Here is a 22,485-nt window from a genome sequence, read left to right as displayed (position 1 = left end):
ACCTTTAGGAATTAAGAGTACGCAAAGAGTTCTTAGATTTGGCATTAAAAGAATGACTCATAAAAAGAAAAACTAATAAACTGGACCTCATACAAATTAAAAACTTTTGCTCTGTAAAAACCTATGTGAAAAGGATGAAAACAGAAAATACAGGCTATAGACTAAGGGAAAATATTTGCAAACCACATATCTGACAAAGAACAAATATCTAGAATTTATAAAGAACTCTCCAACATCAATAGTAAAAATGAAACCAATATCCACCTAGAAAATGGGCAAAATACGTGAACAGACATTTGAATGAAGAGGATATATGGATGGCAAATAAGCACTTGAAAATATGCTCAAAATCACTTATCACCAAGGAAAGATAAGCTAAGTCAAAAATGAAATGTCACTACGCACCTATCCGGATGGCCAAATTAAAAATAATACAATGGTGACAACACTAAATGCTGGCAAGGTTGTGAAAACTGGACTACTAATAGATATCTGGTGGGAATGTCAAATGATACATTTTGGAAAACATTTCGACACTTTCTTATAAAACTAAATGAGCTTTTACCTTAAGAATCAGCAATTAGCCCCTTGAGCATTTATCTTGGATAAATGAAAACATGTCCACATAAATCCTGCACATGAATATCTATAGCAGTTTTATTTCTAAAGGCTCCCAAATGGCCCCAGATGTCCTTCAGTAGGTGAATGGTTAAATACATTGTGATGTAACCACAACATGGAATGTTTAGCAATAAAATGGAATAAATTACTGATACATGTGTGGATCTGTCAGAAGGGAATCAGGCTGAGAGAAAAAAGCCAATCCCCAAAAGTTACATCCTACCTGAGTCAATTTACATAACATTTAAAATGACAAATTTGAGAAATGGAAGATACAAGCCAAAGGTTAGGGATGGGGTGGGATGGCATGAAGGTGAATGTGGTTCTAAAAGGCAACAAAAGGACTCCCTGTGGAGTTGGAATTGTTCAGTATCTTGGCTGTGTTGTTTATACACAAACGGACCAGGTGATAAAAATGTATAGAACATACACACACACAAATGAATAAAAGCAAAACTAGGAAAATCTGAATCAGATCAGTGGATTGCATCAATGTCAATACCCTGTTTAGGAGGATATTATACTATAGTTTTGCAAAACATTACCGTTGGGCTCTCTGTTATTTCCTACAACTTCATATGAATGTACAGCTACTTCAGTAAAACCAGCAATAACAAAAGAAGAATAGTAATGGTTTATTACAGTGAATATAAAAAGAATCCATAGGGCCATAATGATACAAAGATTGGGAAACAAAGTATGTAAAGAGCTTTTCCTCAACATGTATGTACTTTTTTCTAAGACCATCTAAAAATAGGAAAGTAATGATAGAGTCTCTATTTTGCAATCATCAGTGTGCTATTTGATCTATGCAAGGTTCATTAATAGGTACTTAATCTATAGGGTTTAAGTTTGTGAGGAACAAAATATTAATTACAAAAAGAAAGTTATGTTTACAATAAGGAAATGTGGCAACATCTACCATATCCAAGTAGCTAAAACTATCATTGCCCATAAGGGGACAAATTGGCATCGTGTACCTTCTCGTGTCAGGCTGTGAGAAACAGATACATGTAGACATTCTTGGAAAGATGTTTAACTTGAGGAAAAATTACAACAAATTCAGGTTGGAGGGTATTATAAGAGACAAGTTTCTAAACTCTTCCAGAATGTCAATATTTTGAAATAAAAAAAGAATAAAAATGAAAAAAAGGCAGGTAGATAAATTAATCTAAATCAAAGGAGACTAAAGAGATTATGATAACCAAATGCAATAAGTGTTTAAGTGTTTGTTTTGTTTTAAGAGATGAAGTCTCATTATATTATGTTGCCTAGGTTGGCCCTGAACTTCTGGCCTCAGCCTCCAAAGTAGCTGGGACTACAGGCATGTACCACTACCATGCCTAGCAAACAAGTGGTTCTTGACTGAAATCTGGAGCAAAAAATAAAATAAAATAAAATAAAATAAAAATCGCTATAGGTCAGTTGTGGAAGAAGAAAACATCAAATGTACCTGTATTCTTTTATCAGTATTAAATATGTTGGTTGTGATCATGGTATTGCATTTATGTAAGTGAAGGTTTTTTAATTAGAAGAGATGCTGAAATATATAGGGTAGGTATCATCATGTCTGCGACTCACTTTCAAAGACCCAGTAAAAAAGTACAGTTAGGTAGACAGAGACATGGAGAGGAAAGAGAAATAAGTAAACAAGATAAATATTAACTGCTGAGTTAGAGTGTAAATGGGTTTTTACTACTTCTATTTCTTCGAGTTTTCTGTATTTGTAATTCTTCAAAATTAAAACAAATCCAGTGGTTATAAATGCCCCTAATGAAATAAAAATGCACTGGCATCGTTGCTTTAAACAGTCTAAATGAGGGTGGCTGGAGAGAGAGGGGGAAAGAACATGCAGTTTCACATCTCAGATAATTATTCTGCAGAATCTTTTTTTGTGTGTGTGTTTTCCACACTGCTGCTTGTGCACAGCAAGATGGCTGTGGTAGCAGTTGGATGTTTGGGAAATGTAGATCCTATATCACTAGACACTGTTATCACTAAGGAGCTAGTTGAAAATTCAAGTCAGGAGACCACATTCTAAAATAATAGTAATTTTGAGGCAGCATTCTCATTGCAGAGATTCTCAAGCAATGCAATTAGTATGGGCAGCTGATATCTAGCTTATAAGTCAAATAATGATTATGTTAGGTGCAGGAAGAAACCGCAATGAAAACAAGCTTAAATTATTGTCACAGTTTAAGCATCTGCTTCTTTAAAAATGTAAATTCCTGGGCCCTGTTCCAGATTTAATGAATTAAAAATCTGTGGGTGGCTCCAGAGTCTAAATTTTTATCCAATTTTTCCAATAACATTAATTAGCTAAGGTTTTGTAAGCAACTGGCATAAGGTGTTATTGCTATTGTTCAAATATAAAAAATAAATCTGATTAAATTTTCCCATGAAATATTTTTGTAAACAGTTTAGTTAATGATTAAGTGGAAGTTTTTTGTGGAACAGCATTAGCACTACTTCATATTTATTTTATCATTAGGTTGAGTTCTTTTTTTTTTTCTTTTTTTTTGAGACGGAGTCTTGCTCTGTCACCAGGCTGGAGTGCAGTAGCATGATCTCGGCTCACTGCAACATCCGCCTCCCAGGTTCAAACGATACCCTGCCTCAGCCTCCCGAGTAACTGGGACTACAGGCACGTGTCACCACGCTCAGCTAATTTTTTGTATTTTAGTAGAGACGTGGTTTTACTATGTTGGCCAGGATGGTCTCGATCGATCTCCTGATCTCGTGATCCCGCCCACCTCAGCCTCCCAAAGTGCTGGGATTACAGGCGTGAGCCACCATGCCTGGCCTATTTTTTATGACAGTAATCAGAAAGCACGTTTTGAAGCAAGTGGAAGAGCATACTGTTATACTAATTTGTTACTGGGGGATGCTGGCATTGAAGAGTCCACTATTAAGCAATAAATACTCATATCATTTAATGAAAAGCATTCTGAAGAGAGATCAGATTGCTAAATAGTTTTATTTCCTTATATGGTCTTGGAAAAAGGAAATATTTTTTAATGTCTTGCTGGTCATACTAACAAGTAAAGAAGGGATCATGATCGTACAAAAACAGAAGCCCATCTGGATCCAACTGCCCTGTCCCTTACTCTTCTCAGTCCCTGTCTCTCTGTGCCCCCAGGGTTAGATGCTGTTGCTTCTGTCATTCATCACAGGAGTTTAAGCTTCTGCTACAAGCAGGGTAGTTTTTCACTTGTTGCCAGCATGCAAAAAGGGACTAAGACACTTTTCTGAAGATTTGGAAACACAGATTCCTAATGGCTAAGCAAATTACCTAAGGGCATAGAACTGAATGTGGCAAAGGGTACATCTTTCAGGCTTGCAAGCACTTTTTTTATACAATTGTACCTCTCATGAAATAAGAATGAGAGGAATACCACATATCAGGGAAACAGGAAATTTTAAGAGATTTTGAGGACTGTGAGATTCTCTTTGAGATGTATTTTCAGAATGTATTTTGAAAGACAGAATTAACAAAGAGTGAGGAATACCAGATTGAGGCAATATTTTGCACATCATTGTGAATTGCAAAGGGCTAGTAGATCAGCTCAAGTATGCAGGCCATCCTGGGCAGTGTGGAGACATCGCAAGCCTTTGTCTGTTTACTACAACTGTGCTGCAGGTTAACCTGACATTTGTGTATGCAATAAAATGAGCAGAAAGGCTGGAGTCAGGGGAACTGGTTAAAATGGTATCTAAGAAAGGGGACTTAGCTCAAGGTGCTCATGGTTACCTGGGGAAACAGGCAAGTGACCCTCATCATCAATTAATAGGACCCTGATCCAGCTGTAACAATCAGAGGAGGACAAGGGACTTTGGGGAGATAATTCCACTCTTGCTTAGCTTTGGGACAGGAAAGAAATAGGAAAATAATAGGGTAGAGATACTAACTTTGATATTCCTCAGCCAATTAGTAATGCTATGTCTCATGCTCTGTTGACTTTTTCTCTCCTTTCTCTTTCTTTCTGTCTTCCTTTCCCCTTATTTCCTCCCCACTCTTTCTTCTTTCCTTCTTGTATTTATCAGTCACCTCTACACAATTCGATGCCATGCTTTTGTTAGGCCCTAACTAGTATGGAATACAACAATACAGAAGGCATTCATTAGGATCCTGTAACACCTTACAAGAGGGCAGTGTATGAAAAGTATTAAAAGAACCATGAAAAGGCTGCACGAGGACTCAAAGAAGAGTTGACCAGGTTTTCAGAAAGCTATGAAAAGGAAAACTGGGAAAGACTTTATAGAGAAGGCAGGTGAGGACCCAGCTCTGCCAAATCCTCAGGAGCCCTCCCTTCCTCATCGGCCGAGTCCTCCTCTCTACAGAATCCCTCCATGGCCTTATCAAGTGTGGACTCTTGATTTGGATTTTTCAAGCTGCAGAAGGTCCTTCAGTGCTGTAAAAGGTTTTCTCTAAGAGAGCAGAGGATGGGAGGACACTTAGAGATATTTTTTCAAGCTTTGTTTTAAGACAGTGTAGAAGTAGCTCTTAAGAGTCTAGGATTCTGTTTGGATCAGGGATCACTGGAGCGATGGACACTCATAAAAAGCTTTTCCTTGGTTCATCTGTTTTTCCTAACTTCTGCTATTATGCCTCTTTTATTTGCATCTTCTAGACTGCAGGAGAAAGAACACATAATTTGAGATTTAAAGTCTTCAGTTTCTGTCCCAATTCCATTTACCAGCTTTGTGATTTCAGCCTGAATTTCTTCAGCTATAAAAAAAGAAAAAACAAAAAGACCTCCCAGGATTATAAATATCAAATGAGAAAAATGTACTTTTTCAACTGTACAACATCATGTTAATATTGATTACTTTTAATTCCTTTATAAATCCCCACTTCTAACTAGCCATAATTTCTCTTGTGAGGTTATACTGTATGTATATATAAAAACAAGTATATTATATACAGTGTACATTAACATATTTTCTTAAACAGGCATCAAATCCTTTAGAGAATGATTCTGGATCCTTCTTCAAGCTATTCCCATTGAAGAACCGCAAATGAACCAGGAATAAATCATTTAAGGGTTCATATAAGAAGCAGTACCATAAACTAAACTACAAGCACCACAAGCCAATGATTTGATTCAAATTAATCTGTTAAACCAAACTGAAGCCAAATATTCAGTTTCTTTGACTCAAACTTGATCTGGTACAAATTGGAAAATACTAAATACTTCAGCCTGGAAATAAATACATGTGGTTTTCTAATATTACAAAAAAAAAAAGAATAAGTATACCCAAATCAATGTTTGACAAACTTGTTCCTCCAAAAATAAAAATCACCTGATGTGTTTGAAAAGGACACAGATTTATAGGCCTTATCCTCAATCAGAATCAGAAGAGATAGTGGAATCCATATTTTACTTCATAGGCCAGATAATTCTTATAATCAGGCAAGTGTATGGCAAAGTGCTCTACAGGAAGGGTTGGCAAACTGTGGCTCACAGCCTGTGGCCTGTTTCTGTAAATAAAGTTTTATTAGAACACAGTCATACCCATTTGTTACATATTGTCTATCACTGCTTCCGCACTACAACAATGAGGTTGAATGGTTTCAACAGAGACTTTATGACACACATGCTAAAATGTTTACTATCTGACTTACAGAAAAAGTTTGCCAACTTCTGCTCTAAAGAAACATCAAAGGCAATAGGAAGAATATTGATCAGGGAATTAGGAGCTCTGAGTTCTATCAAACAGCAGTGGGCCTAGAGTACGACGCTCAACTTTTTGAAACCAAGGTATGTTATCAATAAATAGTTGAGGACGGGCATAATATAGATCTCCTATCCTTATGAGATCATAGAAATAAGAAGTCATTAAAAAAAAAAACTTAAAAGTTTGCCAACCGAAATGTCAAGGTCCTTTGATTTTTTTGCTCAAAGTATTATTAAAGTGCCAGAATAAATATATAACTCAATGTTAATAAAAGGCTTTGGAAGGCAGCTCTCTACCCCTTTGCTGGTTTAAAAAAAAAGAGAGAGAATATTATAATTTTCTAAGTGGTAGAAGTTGTCTTTTAAAACTTGTATATATGTGGAGAGATTTAAGTAAAATGGTTTTTGGTGATAAAATGTTTGTGACCCAATAGATTAGATATTCTCTAAGGTCCTTTTCAACTCCAAAATTCTTTGAACACTAATGTACCACAGGAATACTTCAAAGTTATTATGATGACTTTTCTTTCTCCCTGAATGATGAGAGAGGGATGAAACATTTGCGGGGGAAGGAGTGGAGATGGTATTTAAAACAAAGATAAAATGGAATTATGTAGGCTTATACATTTGGTAATCACTGAATTAAATAAGGATAAAAGTATCTTTTTATTTCCTTTTACTCTCTTTTTAAGGCCTTTTAATATGTAAATGTGCCTGACAAATTTTCAAAAAAGGGAGACATGTTACATTGCATTTCCTAAACTCACGTGACCGTGAAAATTTATTTTCCTGAACATCTCTTGTGAACTCTTTGTCAATGAAAACACTGCTTTAAATAAGCTTTAAATAATAACGATCAGTGGGTTGTCATTTAGGTAGGTTTATGACAAGTGGAAGACAAGAATAACCTGGTTAAGACAGATCACAGGGTGCACAGAGCGGAGGCCAAGCTTGGGGAGCTCCCTGCTGACTGCTCTGGGTAATGACCCAGGGTCCCAGAGTGAGGAGAGGGGTATGGCGGTGGGGAGATGGTGCTGCCATTCAGAACTAAAACAAAGTTCCTTTAAGGCATCTATGTACACAATCATCCTATAAACACACCATCTACTCCACCAAAGTCAACTCACCTCATTTACTTAGACCCTCACTTCCCAGTCTGCATTTTGCCTTTGCATCCTTTTTTTTGGCCTTTCAGCTGACTTTGAACTTCATTGAACCAGACTTCCTTTGCATAAATGAATGTACTCTACAGTACTGGAACCGAAAATGTGGCTTATAATCATTGTATTTCTGGTAGCCCTGATCATAAGTTTAAGGCAAATACTGACAGTTGCAAGGAGTGATACAGTAACTGCAAGAAGAGCAGCTAGCAGAAGTGAGAGGGAACATAAGCAGATCTTTGAAGACAGCAAACCAATGTTGCCCCAGAAAGCAGAGCCCAAGGCAAACAACTCTGGTCACTAAGACAACTCTTCTTTGCTATTGTCCTCCTGGGACATTCATGAGTGGAGTTAAATGCAGCAAAAATCAACTTTTCGCCAGCATAGACTACCTTGTTAACTATTTGTGAGCCATGCCTGGATGTGCCTGGATGGCTTCCTTTTTCTTCAGTAGTTCACAGGGAATCCTCTATGAGGCCATATACATAGACAGAAGAAAGGTGCCAGGGCATTAATTAAGGACGTGTGACAAGGGGGTCTGTGCCACTTGTCCTCATAATATCTTGTGTCATCTGTACTAGTTAGGGCTTGATCCCGAATATTCCATTATAAAGTGGACTGCTGCTATGTCCACCTCATTTTAAGATTTGGTCAGTTTTTCAACTTACAAAGGGTGGCTTCTGTCACATAAGTACTTGGTACCCCATGGTCCAATAATCAGTCCCCACTAGTGCCAGAATCATGCTACAGACAATTTTACAATGGAGGACAGTTCTCCATAAAAGGCATGAACTCATTCCAAATCTCTAGGTGTCTGCATTACAGAATTCCTATTGGGGCTTGCTGGAGACCTCTACTCACCATTCTTCCATACCGCAGACATCAGCAGCACTATCTCTACTGTGTCACAGACTTCCAGGGACAGAAAGCTTGCAGCAGAGCCAGCACATGCTGAAGAGCCCTTTCTTGCTCTGGACTCCACTGAAAACGGGCAACCTTCTAAGTAAAGCAATAAATGCATTGAAAAAATATTCTGAAATATTATGATATATGTTGTTTCCAAAATCCAAAGAAACCCCCAACATTGCACCTCTTTCTTAGGGTTGGAGATGCTGAGTGTAACACTGAGTCCTCTGTCTGGGTAGGGAAGTCTAGGTATGCGGCTACTGAGGATCCCAACACATCTTCTTCCACCTGCACCACATCTCAGTTAACCACAAGAGGAAGTGTTGGTAATTGTGATGCTACCACATGCCTAGAGTTATCACCATGTGTTTACAACCAGAAATCAGATCCTCGTTGCTGTCACATAGGGGAGTAATCCAACTCCTAAAATCTGTCCTGAGGGTGTGTTGTCTAAAGCCATTCCTGGTTCCATGGAAGCACAAATAGTTAGAAAATGCAAAGCCTGAAGCAAAGGCATAAGTGGTACTACTTTATTAGATAGGACAATTACGGAAGGAGCACTAAGGGACAGGTAAGAAAGGGAAAGCCAATATAATGATGAATTATTACGCTTATACACATCTCAGAGCAAAACATTTCTACGTCCTGCACAGTTGTCTTGTAAAATGCCACAAAACTGTGCCTCAAGCCAATCCATATGAGGAGAAAAAAAGAGAAAAATATCGAATCTCTGGTTTCCACCTCGCATTAGAGAAAGGTTTATACTATGGCTCGTTAACATCCCTACACTTTCTAGTTGTCCATGCATAAGTACCCATCAGGGTCACATGGAATTCTAAGCCCCGGTGTCAACAGGAAAGCCATGGAGCAGAACTAAGAGCCACAGAGTGTGTGCACTGCATGTTTGCACCTGGATTGTGTCAACTGGAGCCCACCTGGGGCTGGCAGATGTGGCAGTAAATAGCATAAGAAACAGGTGTGCCTGGCTGTCTGCGGCAGGAAGAAGTCAGTGAACATGGAGAAAATTAAGAAGGAGATTACTTGGGGAGGAAATTAAGCACATAGGTCGAAAGAGTTTACTGAGAAGGAAAGACATTTTAAGAAAGGGGAAAAAATTACAAAATACCAAGGATGTTTAATTTTACCAGTAATATGGTAAAGGAATCTGCTAATAAAAAAACTCTTACCCTGTCTTGTTTTTGTTCATTGTGCTTATTATTTTCTGAAATTACCTATTTATTTGTTTACTTGTCTGTTGTCTGTCTCCCCATCTAGAAAGTTCTCTCAGGGTCTGGGCTTTATTTCTCTTGTTCATTTCTCTAAGTCCAAGCAAAGAGTCAGCAGCCAATAAATAGTTATTGAATAAATAAATACTATCAAATACATTATTTCTGGTGAATGAAAATTTCCTCCTCTCCTTACACAGTATTCAATTCACAGAAAAGAAATGAGTATTAAAGATCATCTTATCTAATTCACTTGTTTGGCTTGTGAACTGGAAAACTTAAATGACATGCTGAAGTCACAACTTAGATTGTGAAATTACCGGGACTAAAATTCAAGTATCTTGACAACTCTTATTTTTTTAACATGGCAAAAAGCATGATCAGTTTTTAAATGTCTTTGCTGGGGAGTAGGGTTACTTTAAAATGGTGTACAAAAGTACACTAAAGTTTTAAAGTGTTCTAGAACTGTGCAAAGAGAAAATTTCATGTGACCTTCATGATATGTAAGTGAAGAGGTATTATTATTTCCACACTGAGAGATAATCCTAGGTATCTAACTGGCTTACTCAAGACCATACTACCATTGTACTAGACACGGTGCTGAACTCAAGTCAATTAATTTCATTTTCAGAGATTTTATGTTTGGACTAATTTTTTAGAGGAGAGGATATGAAACCATTTTGTACTTTTTTTTTTTTGATTTGGGAGATAACTTTCTTATATTCCTCTAGTTATGATTAGATCAAAGTCACTGCTAAATTAATAGTCTCTTTTCATTTATGTTTTCTTATAAGACTTTCAATATTACTTTTCCATATTTATACTCTCTTGTTCCTCTAAATCCTAAAACCATTGGTGAGCCAGGGAAAGGTCACTTCAAATTCTGTTTCCCTTACTCGGTACTTAGTACAGGACTTTTTTGTTTAGAGTTGAAATATTTGTTAAATGGTCTCACAATCATTTCTTCAACATATACTCCTTATTGTCTCCACTAAGCATATATTTTGCCAGAATTTGAGAGTGAAAAGGGCACCCTGACCATCACTGAGTAATTAGACGTTTTCCTCTCATTCAATAAGTAAACTTCTGTTTCATAAGTTAAAATGTATTTAGATAGGTTCTGCTTTGTGTAAAATAGGCTTTAAAGGAAAACAAAATAGGAAATTTTTGATTAGTTTTACTAAATTTGAAATCCCCCTTCAATAAAAATATGGTAAATAATTTTAAACTACGGCAAAAATAACTTATAAGCTAGACCTTGGTTGCAAGATATGTATACTAAGAAGATACATGGAAACCCATAGGCAGAATATGTTCTGCAGGATAAAACCAGCTACATTTTCAGAAAGCTTAGCTTTCTGGTTAACAGTATAGACTTTGCATAGGCGTTTTGACATTTGAATTCTTGCTCTGTCACTAATGAGATGTATGAGCTTCGACAATTTCTTAAACTATCTTACCATGATTTTCTCATTTGTAAAATCGGTGTGAATACTATTTGCTGCATCTGATTATTGTGAAGAAAAATAAATTAATTCAAGTCTTACAGGCATACTGACAAGTAGAATATACTTAATAATTATTAGCTATTGTTATTCTTACAAGGACATTACATGTACTCTGGGAAGAAAACCATTAATTAAAACAATAGTTCTTGACAAATCAATGAAAGCCATAGATACATAAATGAGAAAAGAAGTCAGGGAATACACGGGTTCCATAAAGTCCATGCATGGACCAGACATGGAGAATCTATGATTCACAGCTGTGAGCTTAAACCATGATGTTCCCCATACAAACTGAGGACTCAGGGGAGGCCACAGAGGATGGTGTCTGATCACAGTGGTTTCTATGAGTACTTGTGTCTTACAAGTGATGGCAACACAAAGTGCCATCAGAAAGAAAATATTAGATTACTGTTGCTTCCTGAATTGGCTGGATTCTAATGCTTATTTTGTCTTGCTCCAAATGATGCTTCTTTTTATATTTATTGCATGGGCATTTGTAGGATGTATGCAGATATAAATCAATATATGTTTTTGAACAAAATATTGAAAAGTGGCTACTGAAATTGTGTACTTCTAAATATAGAAATATACCTCGGGAGACTTTACTTTTAATCATCTTGCTACCAGTCAAGAGGACAGTACCTTCTGCTACAATCATCTTGGTTGTCAAAGGCCACCAGGTGACTTAAATATTTAAAATTTGTACCCGTGTGGGGAGGTGGACCCAGGTTCCTTCCTATATACAGTATTCTGATACACCGATGTTATCTTCAAGATAACAGAATCCCTTAATCCTAGAATTTAGAAGTCTGTTCTAATATTTTAGAGGGAAAAAAATACTGGACCTCAAGCCTTTTGGAAAATTGTAAATAATAAGTTTCAAATGGAAAACTCAGAACAAAATGGGAGAGCTACATATATTAAAAACTAGAAAATGCATGAAACTGTTCTTCAGATCCACACAGCAAGAAAACCTAAGTGTTGATTACACTATATGTTACACTCAATTTCCCACTGTCAAAGGCTCTACCGTCTATTTGCTGAGCCAATATGTCTCCTAAGACAAATGAAGAAAATCTGGTTTGTTAGTGATAAAGTATGTACCAAGTTTTTATACTGTTTTTGCATGGTCATCAAGGGAAATACAAATGCATTTTATTAAATTACCAAATAGTGGTAAATATTTCTTAAATTTTAAGGAGAAATATTTAAGGTTTTTGACAATGGCATTTATTCAATAGTCATGTAGTCAAGAAAATATATGAATATTTGAACGCTTAAGGCATACAATGAATCAAAATTTAGTCACATAACCAACATAAAGATTTTCAGATAGAGTCAATGTGACTTATGATAAAAAGAATTGGAGATGAAAGTAAGCAGGCTTACATAAACAAATGTATTTTCAGGAAACAGGTTTGTGAAATCTAGAGGATAGCGCTTGGATTTTCGGACACTTTGTCTAATGGATGTACACATGTCCATTTGTTAGCAGTAGTTTTCAAGTCAGATGGTTTTATACGTGAACAATTTCTTTTTCCTGTGCATGTATTCACGGTATCAAACGTCTAATATTGTGGAGAACATCTGAACAGTCTGTGACATGTTCTAGCTACAGTAACGTGTTCATACTGATCATTCCTTTGGCAGGGTGAGTTTTTCACCCAGTAATGATGAAAGAGCCCTGAAAGAGGGGAGGTTAGATCGATTAGTCTGTTTGCAGGATAATGTACTGTACATGACTCAGCTGACCAAACTGAGGTTGAACAGTGACAGATGGGTAAAGTTGGAGTTTCATGTTAGGTGCCATGAATTACCATGCTATTCACTGAAGGTCTCCTGGGCCAGCTGGTCACACGTTATCTGATGGTATTTCAAATTCCACTTTCAAATTACTGTCTGGATTTTGTTGGCTGGCAATACTCTAAGGAATCCAGCAGCCTCAAAAGACACTGGGCTTATATATTATCAATTACATCATCTCCAAATCCCTAATGGAGTTGTGAGAACTTTCCCATATGAAGAGACAATTAGCAAATATGTCTTCTCATATTGTCTACATTTTGTATATATTTCCTTGATGTTTGATCCGGGAGGAATACTGTAAAATATGCTGAAATGCAAAAATGAGAACCGCTTTTTTTTTTAAGAAGACATAGCTAAAAATACCTTATCTTTAGCTATGAATAGGAATAATATCCTGGCAAATAAGTATCTCCTAATTCAACAAGAAATATAACACCTTGAATGCAAATTATTTAATAATTTGAGTGAACTCCTTTAGTTTGCCAAGCTACTTTTCAGTTACTTGCATTTCTAAACTTGGCAAGTTACTTGGGGCATCTACTTTTTATAGCCTGAAGTAGCTATCTTAAGAAAATGCCTATAAATTTATACTTTTCTGAGTAAGACAAAAAATGTTCAGCAATACCAGAAGTATTTTACAGAAGCATTTCATGGGAATTCAGTAATGATTTGTATTATACAGTGCAATACATGCAGTCACAGTATAATTTGACCATTCAACAAAGAACAAATAAATCCAAACTAATGCCTGGGGCTTTGAAAATAGAAATGAATATAATGACTAATGCTTTGTGAAACTTGGCACATTTTTCTCAAGAAGAATTATATATCTATCCGCCATTATTGTTTCGACTTTTTATAGCACTTTATATGGTAACAGCAACCTTCTTACTCTACACTCAGCCCTTTGGCTGTATTCTGACAGTCTATTTGTGTTCTGATTTCATGAATAATGAATGAATGAAAGTGAAGAAATATATAGCTTTCCTCACTCATGCAAAAAATTTTAAAGTGAAACACATTTTAACATAAATGCTACTAAATGTTAAAAAATCCAAGGGAACTAAAATGTGACAAGGTGGGACATTCCTTTTTTTTAATTCCAAGGAAGCATAGTATAATAAAAGGAACAATGGAATCAGAAAACCCATAATCAATTTTCCAGTTGGCTTTTGAAACATCACATGTAAAATGGTCAAGTGTTAGGTCTTTCTAGCCTTTCTTGGTTACTTGTTATTGGCATGTAGAGACACATGCCAGGTGACTATGTGTACAGGGTGGGCTTATATAACCTAATAGGTTTTCATTATGAATTAACACATTGTTAAAAAAAACTACCATCAAATGCAGAGTCATCTGTATATTACAGTTTCTGCTGGAAGTGTGCTGAAGTGCTGAGGGTATGTTAAAGACCATAGGCACATTGGGAGGCTGAGGCAGGTGGATCACCCGAGGCCAGGAGTTCGACATCAGCCTGGCCAACGCGGTGAAACCCCATCTCTACTACAAATTAGCACCTGTAATCCCAGATACATGGGAGGCTGAGGCAGGAGAATCACTTGAACCTGGGAGGCAGAAATTTCAGTGAGCTGAGATCGCATCACTGCACTCCAGCCTGGACAGCCAGACTCTATCTCAAAACAAACAAACAAACAAACAAACAAAAACAAACAAACAAAAACCCATAGGGCTGAAGGAGGGTTTGTGTTGGGAAGCAGAATCCTGATGACTTGCCCACCACTCTTGAAATGGGGGAGGAGTCAGTCCTTCAGGGTGGAAATGATCAGCCTGTTAAGATAAAAACAGTCCTTTGAGTTGTGATTGGAGATATAACATTATTTTCATTCTATTAACTAGTTCCTCAGTGCCAAGTCTCAATAATGCTTTTATTCCACTTCTAAAGAAATTAACATTAGAAAACATTTATATTGCAAATTTCTCTTTCAATAAAAGTGCCAGATGCAGGAAGAGAGGAAGATGTCGGAGCAAAAGAGCCTGTCAGAATGCCGCTCTTTTAATTAGACACCATATGTGGGATGTGCAACATGTCAGTCATAAGCATAATTCATGGCCATTGAGTATGATTGAAAAAAAATAAGCAGCTATAATATTTGATATCTTATTCAAAACTTCGGCAACTGAACTCTCATATACTGAGCAAATTCCTGAAACATTGCCACTTGCTGTGTCACTAAAGGTCACAACAGTCTTCTGGATTGCTCCAGGGGTGCCAGGCTATCAACACCATACAAATGAACCTCTGCATAGATATGAAGCTGCCTGAACTCTCTCAGAACAGCTGCCAGGTTAATTTGGCAGCAACCGTGATCCTCAAACTGGCAAACCCCCAACATTCCCTCTGATGGGCTAGGAGACCTTAGAACATTTCAGCCTTTGTGACTAAATTGACACTTTTTGCTACTATGTGATCATCTCTCCAGCCAGGAGCTAGGTGCTCTCTGTAACTTGGATAAGCTGGGCTCTTTTGCTGAGCACTTAAGCCTTGATATTTGTGGCTTGCATATTGTTCCATCACCAGCTCCAGCTTACACAGCCTTCAGTTAACTCTTAAATGTACATGCATCCTACTCCAATCCATCAACAAGCCTTTCCCACATGAAGGTGTGAATTACTCTCATACTTGGATCTAGTTTTAAGGCATTCCCAAGCCAACAAATGTAACAATTGTTTCTAGATGCCTCTTCAGAACTCCAGTTTAGAGATACGCTCAGAGATGTTTACAAAGGTATTCATAAATCAAAATATGTTAGGCAAATATGTTCATAAAATTCAAAAATCAAAATATGTTTAGGAAAAGTTTAGGAAAAGTTTCATACCATATCCCTCCTGGAGGAACATAGCTTATCAAAACATTAACTGCTCTGAGGAGCTCTAGAGTAGATAAAATTGTCCTACTCTGTTTATTCTAACATTTCCCAAATATATATATATATATATTTTGAGACAGAGTCTTACTCTGTCACCCAGGCTGAAGTGCAGTGGCGTGATCTTGGCTCACTGCAAGTTCTGCCTCCCAGTTTCAAGAGATTCTTGTGCTTCAGCCCCCCAAGTAGCTGGGATTACAGGCATGGGCCATGAAACCTGGATAAGTTTTATATTTTAGTAAACATGGGGTTTCACCAAGTTTGCCAGGCTGGTCTCAAACTCCTGGCCTCAAGTGATCCACCTGCCTCAGCCTCCCAAAAAATGCTGAGATTACAGGTGTGAGCCACCACACCAAGCCTCCCCAAACATTTGATGACACAGCAACCCTTTCTTCAATCCAGCTATTTACCTTGCAAAAAATGAATGGTTTACAGAAGACAATTTGGGGAAACACTGTATGATAAAACAAATTTATTCAAATTTTATTTATAAAGAAGTAAAAGGTAAAAATTGACTCCATAGGAATCATTTTAAGGAACATTGTTTTGTACATTATGCATAAAATTCATTTAAAGGAGAAAATGAGGATTTTATCTTTTCTATTTTATGCAGTTTTATGAAGTGACATCTCTGTATTTTACACACAAAGGTAAGTTGTGGATAATGATATTGAAAAAGAGTGCTGTCCCAAAAGATTCATTTCATTAAGTTATTAAGATTCCTACTTTTTCAAAGTCTCTTCATCCTCATACTTGATTGATTTTGACATCCAGGACATTAGTGCTTTGAAGACCATAGAAAAGTTTAGGAAGGTGAGGCCAGGCATGGTGGTCACGCCTGTAAATCCCAGCACTTTGGGAGGCCGAGGCGGGCGGATCACAAGGTCAGGAGATCGAGACCATCCTGGCTAACACGGTGAAACCCCGTCTCTACTAAAAATACAAAAAAACTAGCTGGGTGTGGTGGCGGGCGCCTGCAGTCCCAGCTACTTGGGAGGCCGAAGCAGGAGAATGGCGTGAACCCGGGAGGCAGAGGTTGCAGTGAGCCGAGATGGCTCCATTGCCCTCCAGCCTGGGGGACAAAGCGAGACTCCGTCACAAAATAAATAAATAAATAAAATAAAAATAAGAAAGTTTAGGAAGGTGAATTATTTATAAATTATTACACCAGTATCATACTGAGCAGCAGAAACATCCCCCTAAAGCACCATGGACACTGCTACAACTTTTGGGTTAAATCCATCTGCAAACAACCAACTGAAATGTCTTTCCTTGGCTGCCACTCAATCAGCACTCTCTGACTCTCTGCACCTGAAGAAGGCATTTCTCTTCTCTGAGTCTTTTTTGTTTGTTTGTTTGTTTTTGTTTTCTTTTGCTTCTTGGCACTGCTGTTTTTCTAAAATGTTGTGAATGCTGGATTAAACAGGGTACTACAAATATGAATCAGGCCATGACTCGGCAGGACTCCATGCCCTTCAATGACTGCCCGTCTCACTGCGTGAGAGTATTTACCCAGGTCTATAAGGCCAGCAAGAGTCTTAACTTCCCCTCAGCTTGACTATACTTTAGAAAAACTTCCTAGGTACCTCTAGGCCTGACCCCTCTCACCAGTCCTTGCAGATCCAGGCAGTCTAACCACAGAGGCCCCATCCCTTCCTTTCCTTGGAGCATTTACTTTAGAAAACTGGTAACTATAACTGCCTCTTTGAGACAGAAATCTTTTAAAAACCTCTTGCCAGTTTTGCATGCCAGGAATGTCTTTCTCAAGGACCTGGGAACCATTCCTTTGAAATACAGTAATCCAAGAAGACAGTGCCACTATTTCTCAGTCTCTGTGAGAGGGTGAGGGTCTAACTTTGATGAGCACCTCGATCTCCTGTCATGAAGCTATGAGAAAGTTTATTTTTCCTTTGGTTAAGACCAGTTTTTCCTGCCTCGATTTTCTTGGAAGCATTTATCAGGAAGTTATTAAACATTTTACTCATTTGTTGTGTATATTTTAGCCTCTTCCCATTAGGTTATAGGCATTCAGCTTATAGCTTTTTGCCAGCATGGATTTTTCTTTGCTTGTTTGCAGCTGTATTCCTAATGTCTTGAATGAAAACTTTACAAGGTTGACTTTTAGTATGTATTTTCTGACTTGATGAATAAAGAAATGAAGAAAGGTGAATATATTCTTTTCTCTGGTAATCATTAACAGGAGCAAATGTGAATGGACCGAGAGGCGGTTTGAAGTGGTCAGGGGAATGTGGGAATATTCTCATGAAATACAACTCTGGCTTAGCTTTTGTTCAGCGAATTGTGTCATTTAGAGATCAAATGGGATGGCCAAATGATTAAAGTGACAGATTTTATATTTGTGAAAAATGTCACTAAACAATTTTTAGCAGTGAGACTATAATTATTTTTTCCTTTACCTGATTACAGAAAAATACAATGGATTACTAGCTTGTTTTAAATTACAGGCAGTGTTAAGTTTCTCTGCTTGGGAATTGGCAGTGCTATCAGTCATTGTCAAAAGTCAGGGTGTCAGATGCATCTTGGATGTGAATTTTAATACAGAGTTCATCTTTACTTTGTCCAGAAATATAGGGATCAGACCATATTTTTTCTATCTATTCCATATGTCAGAATTCCCCTGGTTCTACTCATGAAAACACAGACTCATCAACTGCCTTTTAGTAACTTTATTTTCACTGAGATAATATTTATGCATTAAACCGTTGAGACAAACAAACAAACAAAAAACTGGTTTCAGAATGATCAAGCCTGAGTTTACGAACATCTTCTCTTAGTCTTCCAATATTTTATGTGAATATTGAGTCCTGGGCCTGGCCCAAAGAGTTCATACAATAAATAGTAAGAACATTGCTGCTGCTGACATGGGAAATACTTAAATGATTTGTGTATTTTCTGAAGCAATTAAGATACCTGCTTTTACAAACAGACTTCATAAGACTTGAACGCTTCTTGATTTGAACTTACACACATGAACCTTACGATGTGAGCATCTGACCTTATATACCTTCAGAGCAAAGACAAATATTTATTACCAATAATAGACATGATGTATCTGACTGCAATGCTAGCTAGGTATAGGTGGTCCCTTATTATGTGTATGGGCTACAGTAAAACATATCTTTAAAAGCAGAAGTCTCAACCAAGGTGATTTCAGGGAAGTTACCCTCCCAAGGTGCATCACCAGAGAACCTAAGCAAACCATAGATTTACTTCCCTGACAAATTCTATAACAAATTACTCTCTGGCCATAAAACATGCTCCTCTTAGGGTGTTAACTCATGAAAATGTAATAAAACAACTCCAACTTATCACCTTAAATGAATTTTAATTTGGTCTTGACACTAATAAAGAGTTTACAGCATTCTTAGGTCACCTACTGCATTGCTTTCTAGCCTTTTAAATGGCATTTTGAACACTTACTACATATGTATTAAGGACACGGAAGATGCCAGAAAACAGTAAGAGAACTAGTTTTCAGATCTTCACTAGAGTTGCCAAGTCAAGTTGTTCTAGAATGTGTTTCAACTTTCAATATATTTTCATAAATACTTTCATAGTGATACTTAATAAAAATTTTTAGGTGATATTTAGTAGAGTGGGATGTACAGGAACTTTAAAATAATGTTAATCTTCAAAATGTTTGGGAAAACATGTAAAGAAGAAAAGACGATGTTTAATAGGTTTAGGTGTAACTCCTGCAGCGTAAAGTAAAAGAATATACAAAACACTATCCTATACTTAAAATTAGGAAAGAATTGGCTTCTAATATGTATGATAAAATGATTGCAAAGCCAGGATTCATTATAAATTGAATAGTAAATAAAAATGATATTGTTAACTTAGAAAATAACCCCACACATGTAAGAATTCATTAATTAATTCAAAAATCTGGCTCCTAAAAGGAACCAGTAAGTAATACTCTCATGATACATCTCTGGCTTAGCTTTTGTTCAGCTAATTGTATGTCATTTAGAGATCAAATGGGATGGCCAAGTGATTAAAGTGACAGATTTTATATTTGTGAAAAATGCCACTAAACAATTTTTAGCAGTGAGACTACAATTATTTTTTCCTTTACCTGATTACAGAAAAATACAATGGATTACTAGCTGGTTTTAAATTACAGAGGAACACAATTTGAAACATAAACATACTGCTAGCAGGTTTTATAGAAGTGGCTGCAAAATTTTGCTATATCTTAAAAATACTTCAGATATTTGCCATTTTTAACCGATAGGATGAAAATGATTATGATTTACTAAATCTATTTGGCACAATCAGATGATAAGGTTGATTGATAATGACGATGATGATGGTGATGATGAAATGTTTTAAAACTAATCTCTTTATGGATGGGTTTTGGAAAGAAGAAGATAATTATAGGGTCCAATAAATTAAATAAATCATTTCTGAATTGCTTTTAGATTTATTAAACACTAGAACTCCTCAAATAATGAAATATTGTTCATTGTTCCCTACTCTATGTCAAAAATCAATAGAAGAGGAAGTTGTGTAGAGCCATAATACTGGCAGTTACCATTCACTAAGGTTTCACTCAGTGCCAAAGGCTCTATGTCTATCATGTCTAATTGTTACCAGCACTATAAATTACTCCTTTCTGCACAGGAAAACATGAAAGCTGAAATGTATGCAGTATACCAGCTAGAAGTAGAGGTTCTGGGTAATACTCCCTCAATTCACATCCTGACTCTAGCACTTACTAATTATGTCATTATAACCTTTCTGTGTCTTTGTTTCATCTCCCCTAAAATGAAAATAATGACATTATAAGAGTGTTGTGAGAATGATTATGAGATTCAAATGAGTTCAAAGTGTAGGACACTGTAAGAGAAGCACAGTAGCATTCAATAAATATTAGTAATAATCATTAGAGGAATTTAGAAGTTTGCCCAGCGTCTTAGAGCTAACAGTTGGCTGGGTTAGATCCCTCTGTTTCCAGTGCCCTACATTGCCTTACTTTCATAGAAGACAAATAATTTTTCTTGAAAAGGTGATTATGCACATTATGAGCCAGTTTCATCCAGACAATATAGATGTTCAATAATTATTTAGACTGAAGTTGAATTTTACCTTCTTTGTTAATTTTTAGGTAGATTTTTATCTTTTTTTTATGCTGGAAAATGTTATTGAATGTAATGGATGAAGTATCCACAAACAATTAACATAGTGTAAAAACAAAGTGTGGTGTATTAGTCTGTTCTTGCAATGCTGTAAAGAACTACCTGAGACTGGGTAATCTGTAAAGAAAAGAGGTTTAATCAGCTCATGGTTCTGTGAGCTACACAAGCTTCTGCTTCTGGGGAGGCCTCATGAAACTTACAATAATGACAGAAAGTGAAGGGGAAGCTGGCATATATTCAGATGGCCAGCAGGAGAAAGAGACAGAGCAAAGGGGTAAGGCCTACACACTTTCAAACCAGATCTCCTGAGAACTCTGTCATGAGAACAGTAAGGGAGAAGTCCACCCCCCATAATTCAATCACGTCCCACCAGGCCTCCAACACTGAGGATGACAACTCTACATGAGATTTGGGTGGGGACCCAGAGCCAAACCATATCACATGGAAATAGTGAAATGGCAATTCCGACTCAAATGGGTTTATTTCACTTCCGTGTGATTCAGGAATGGTATTGGTAAACACAAGCAATTTTCTTTTTTTCTTCCTAGTCAGGTACATTCCTATAAATCCTTATCTTTCTGAAATTTTCAAGAGGATCAATAATTGTTTTAAAGTTTCACATTTATATGCCTTAGACAATAATAATATTGTTGCACCTGCCAGTTGTTCAGAACTCTGAATCTCAATTTTCTTTGTGTCATTCTGCAATTTCCATTCAATACCTTCAAGTTCTTTATCTAAGGAGGCCATGGTGACCTGCATTAAATCTAATTTTCTGCTGACATCTGCCTCACTATTTATAAACAAAGTCAGTACAATTTAGCAAACCACAGCTATGTTCTTAGAAGTAGTACATTTAAAGACAGAAAAATATAGCTTGAAGCAAATGGCAACAGTATACTTAAACAAAAAATCCTGTTGCTTATTTCACAGAATTTCTAGTGTCACACTAAAGAAAAATGCTTTTGGCTGCATTGTGACATAAGAGGCAGCTTTGTGACATATTCTGCCCAAGAAATAATAGTTATCAAAACAAACGAATACTGCAGATGTCAATGTGATGTGTTTCCACAATACGAAGCTTGAATTCACAGGAGACAAAGGTTATCAAACTGTGAACTTACATATAATTCTCTAGTTTCTATTTTCTCTCTTTATGGGGCTGGAGAAAGTAATACAGATAAGGCAATGAGCTTATAAGCTAATAAGATGTGCGCCTGGAAAACACAATAAGCAGAAAGGATTTCTTTGGAAAATTAAACAGGATTTCCTATGTGGTCTTTCTTAGCACAGCATCAGATACTTTGGGTATTACATATTTCTGGCATTTGAATCTGTAGAAACTGAAATTCAAAAGGGAAATTAACATAAAATCTGTTACTATATGTACAGTATTTTTAAGTCACAAAATTAGATTACTATATTTCTTTCCAAAAATTAAGTTCTCCCAAGAAGCAAGTACAATAAATATATCAGAATGAACTTTTAATTACATTATTTTAAAAACACTGTAAGATCATTTTTTATTTTTCA

The 22,485-nt window shown here is 36.6% G+C and overlaps 1 protein-coding gene across 2 annotated transcripts in view; it reads right to left on the bottom strand.

The window, feature by feature from the left end:
* DOK6 (docking protein 6) overlaps window positions 1-22,485 on the bottom strand; it is a 448,200-nt gene that overhangs the window by 204,732 nt on the left and 220,983 nt on the right. Inside the window, exon 1 of one of the 2 annotated variants that reach the window (XM_017025610.2) lies at window positions 566-14,389. The exons of the other annotated variant lie outside the window; for it this stretch is intronic. The gene's annotated coding sequence lies outside the window, so the exon portion shown is untranslated. Of the gene's footprint in view, window positions 1-565; window positions 14,390-22,485 lie in introns of those variants that run through there. 2 annotated transcript variants of the gene reach the window in all.

This window comes from Homo sapiens, chromosome 18, assembly GCF_000001405.40.
Source record: "Homo sapiens chromosome 18, GRCh38.p14 Primary Assembly".
Classification (NCBI taxonomy): domain Eukaryota; kingdom Metazoa; phylum Chordata; class Mammalia; order Primates; family Hominidae; genus Homo; species Homo sapiens.
This window is presented reverse-complemented; position numbering and strand designations above follow the sequence as displayed.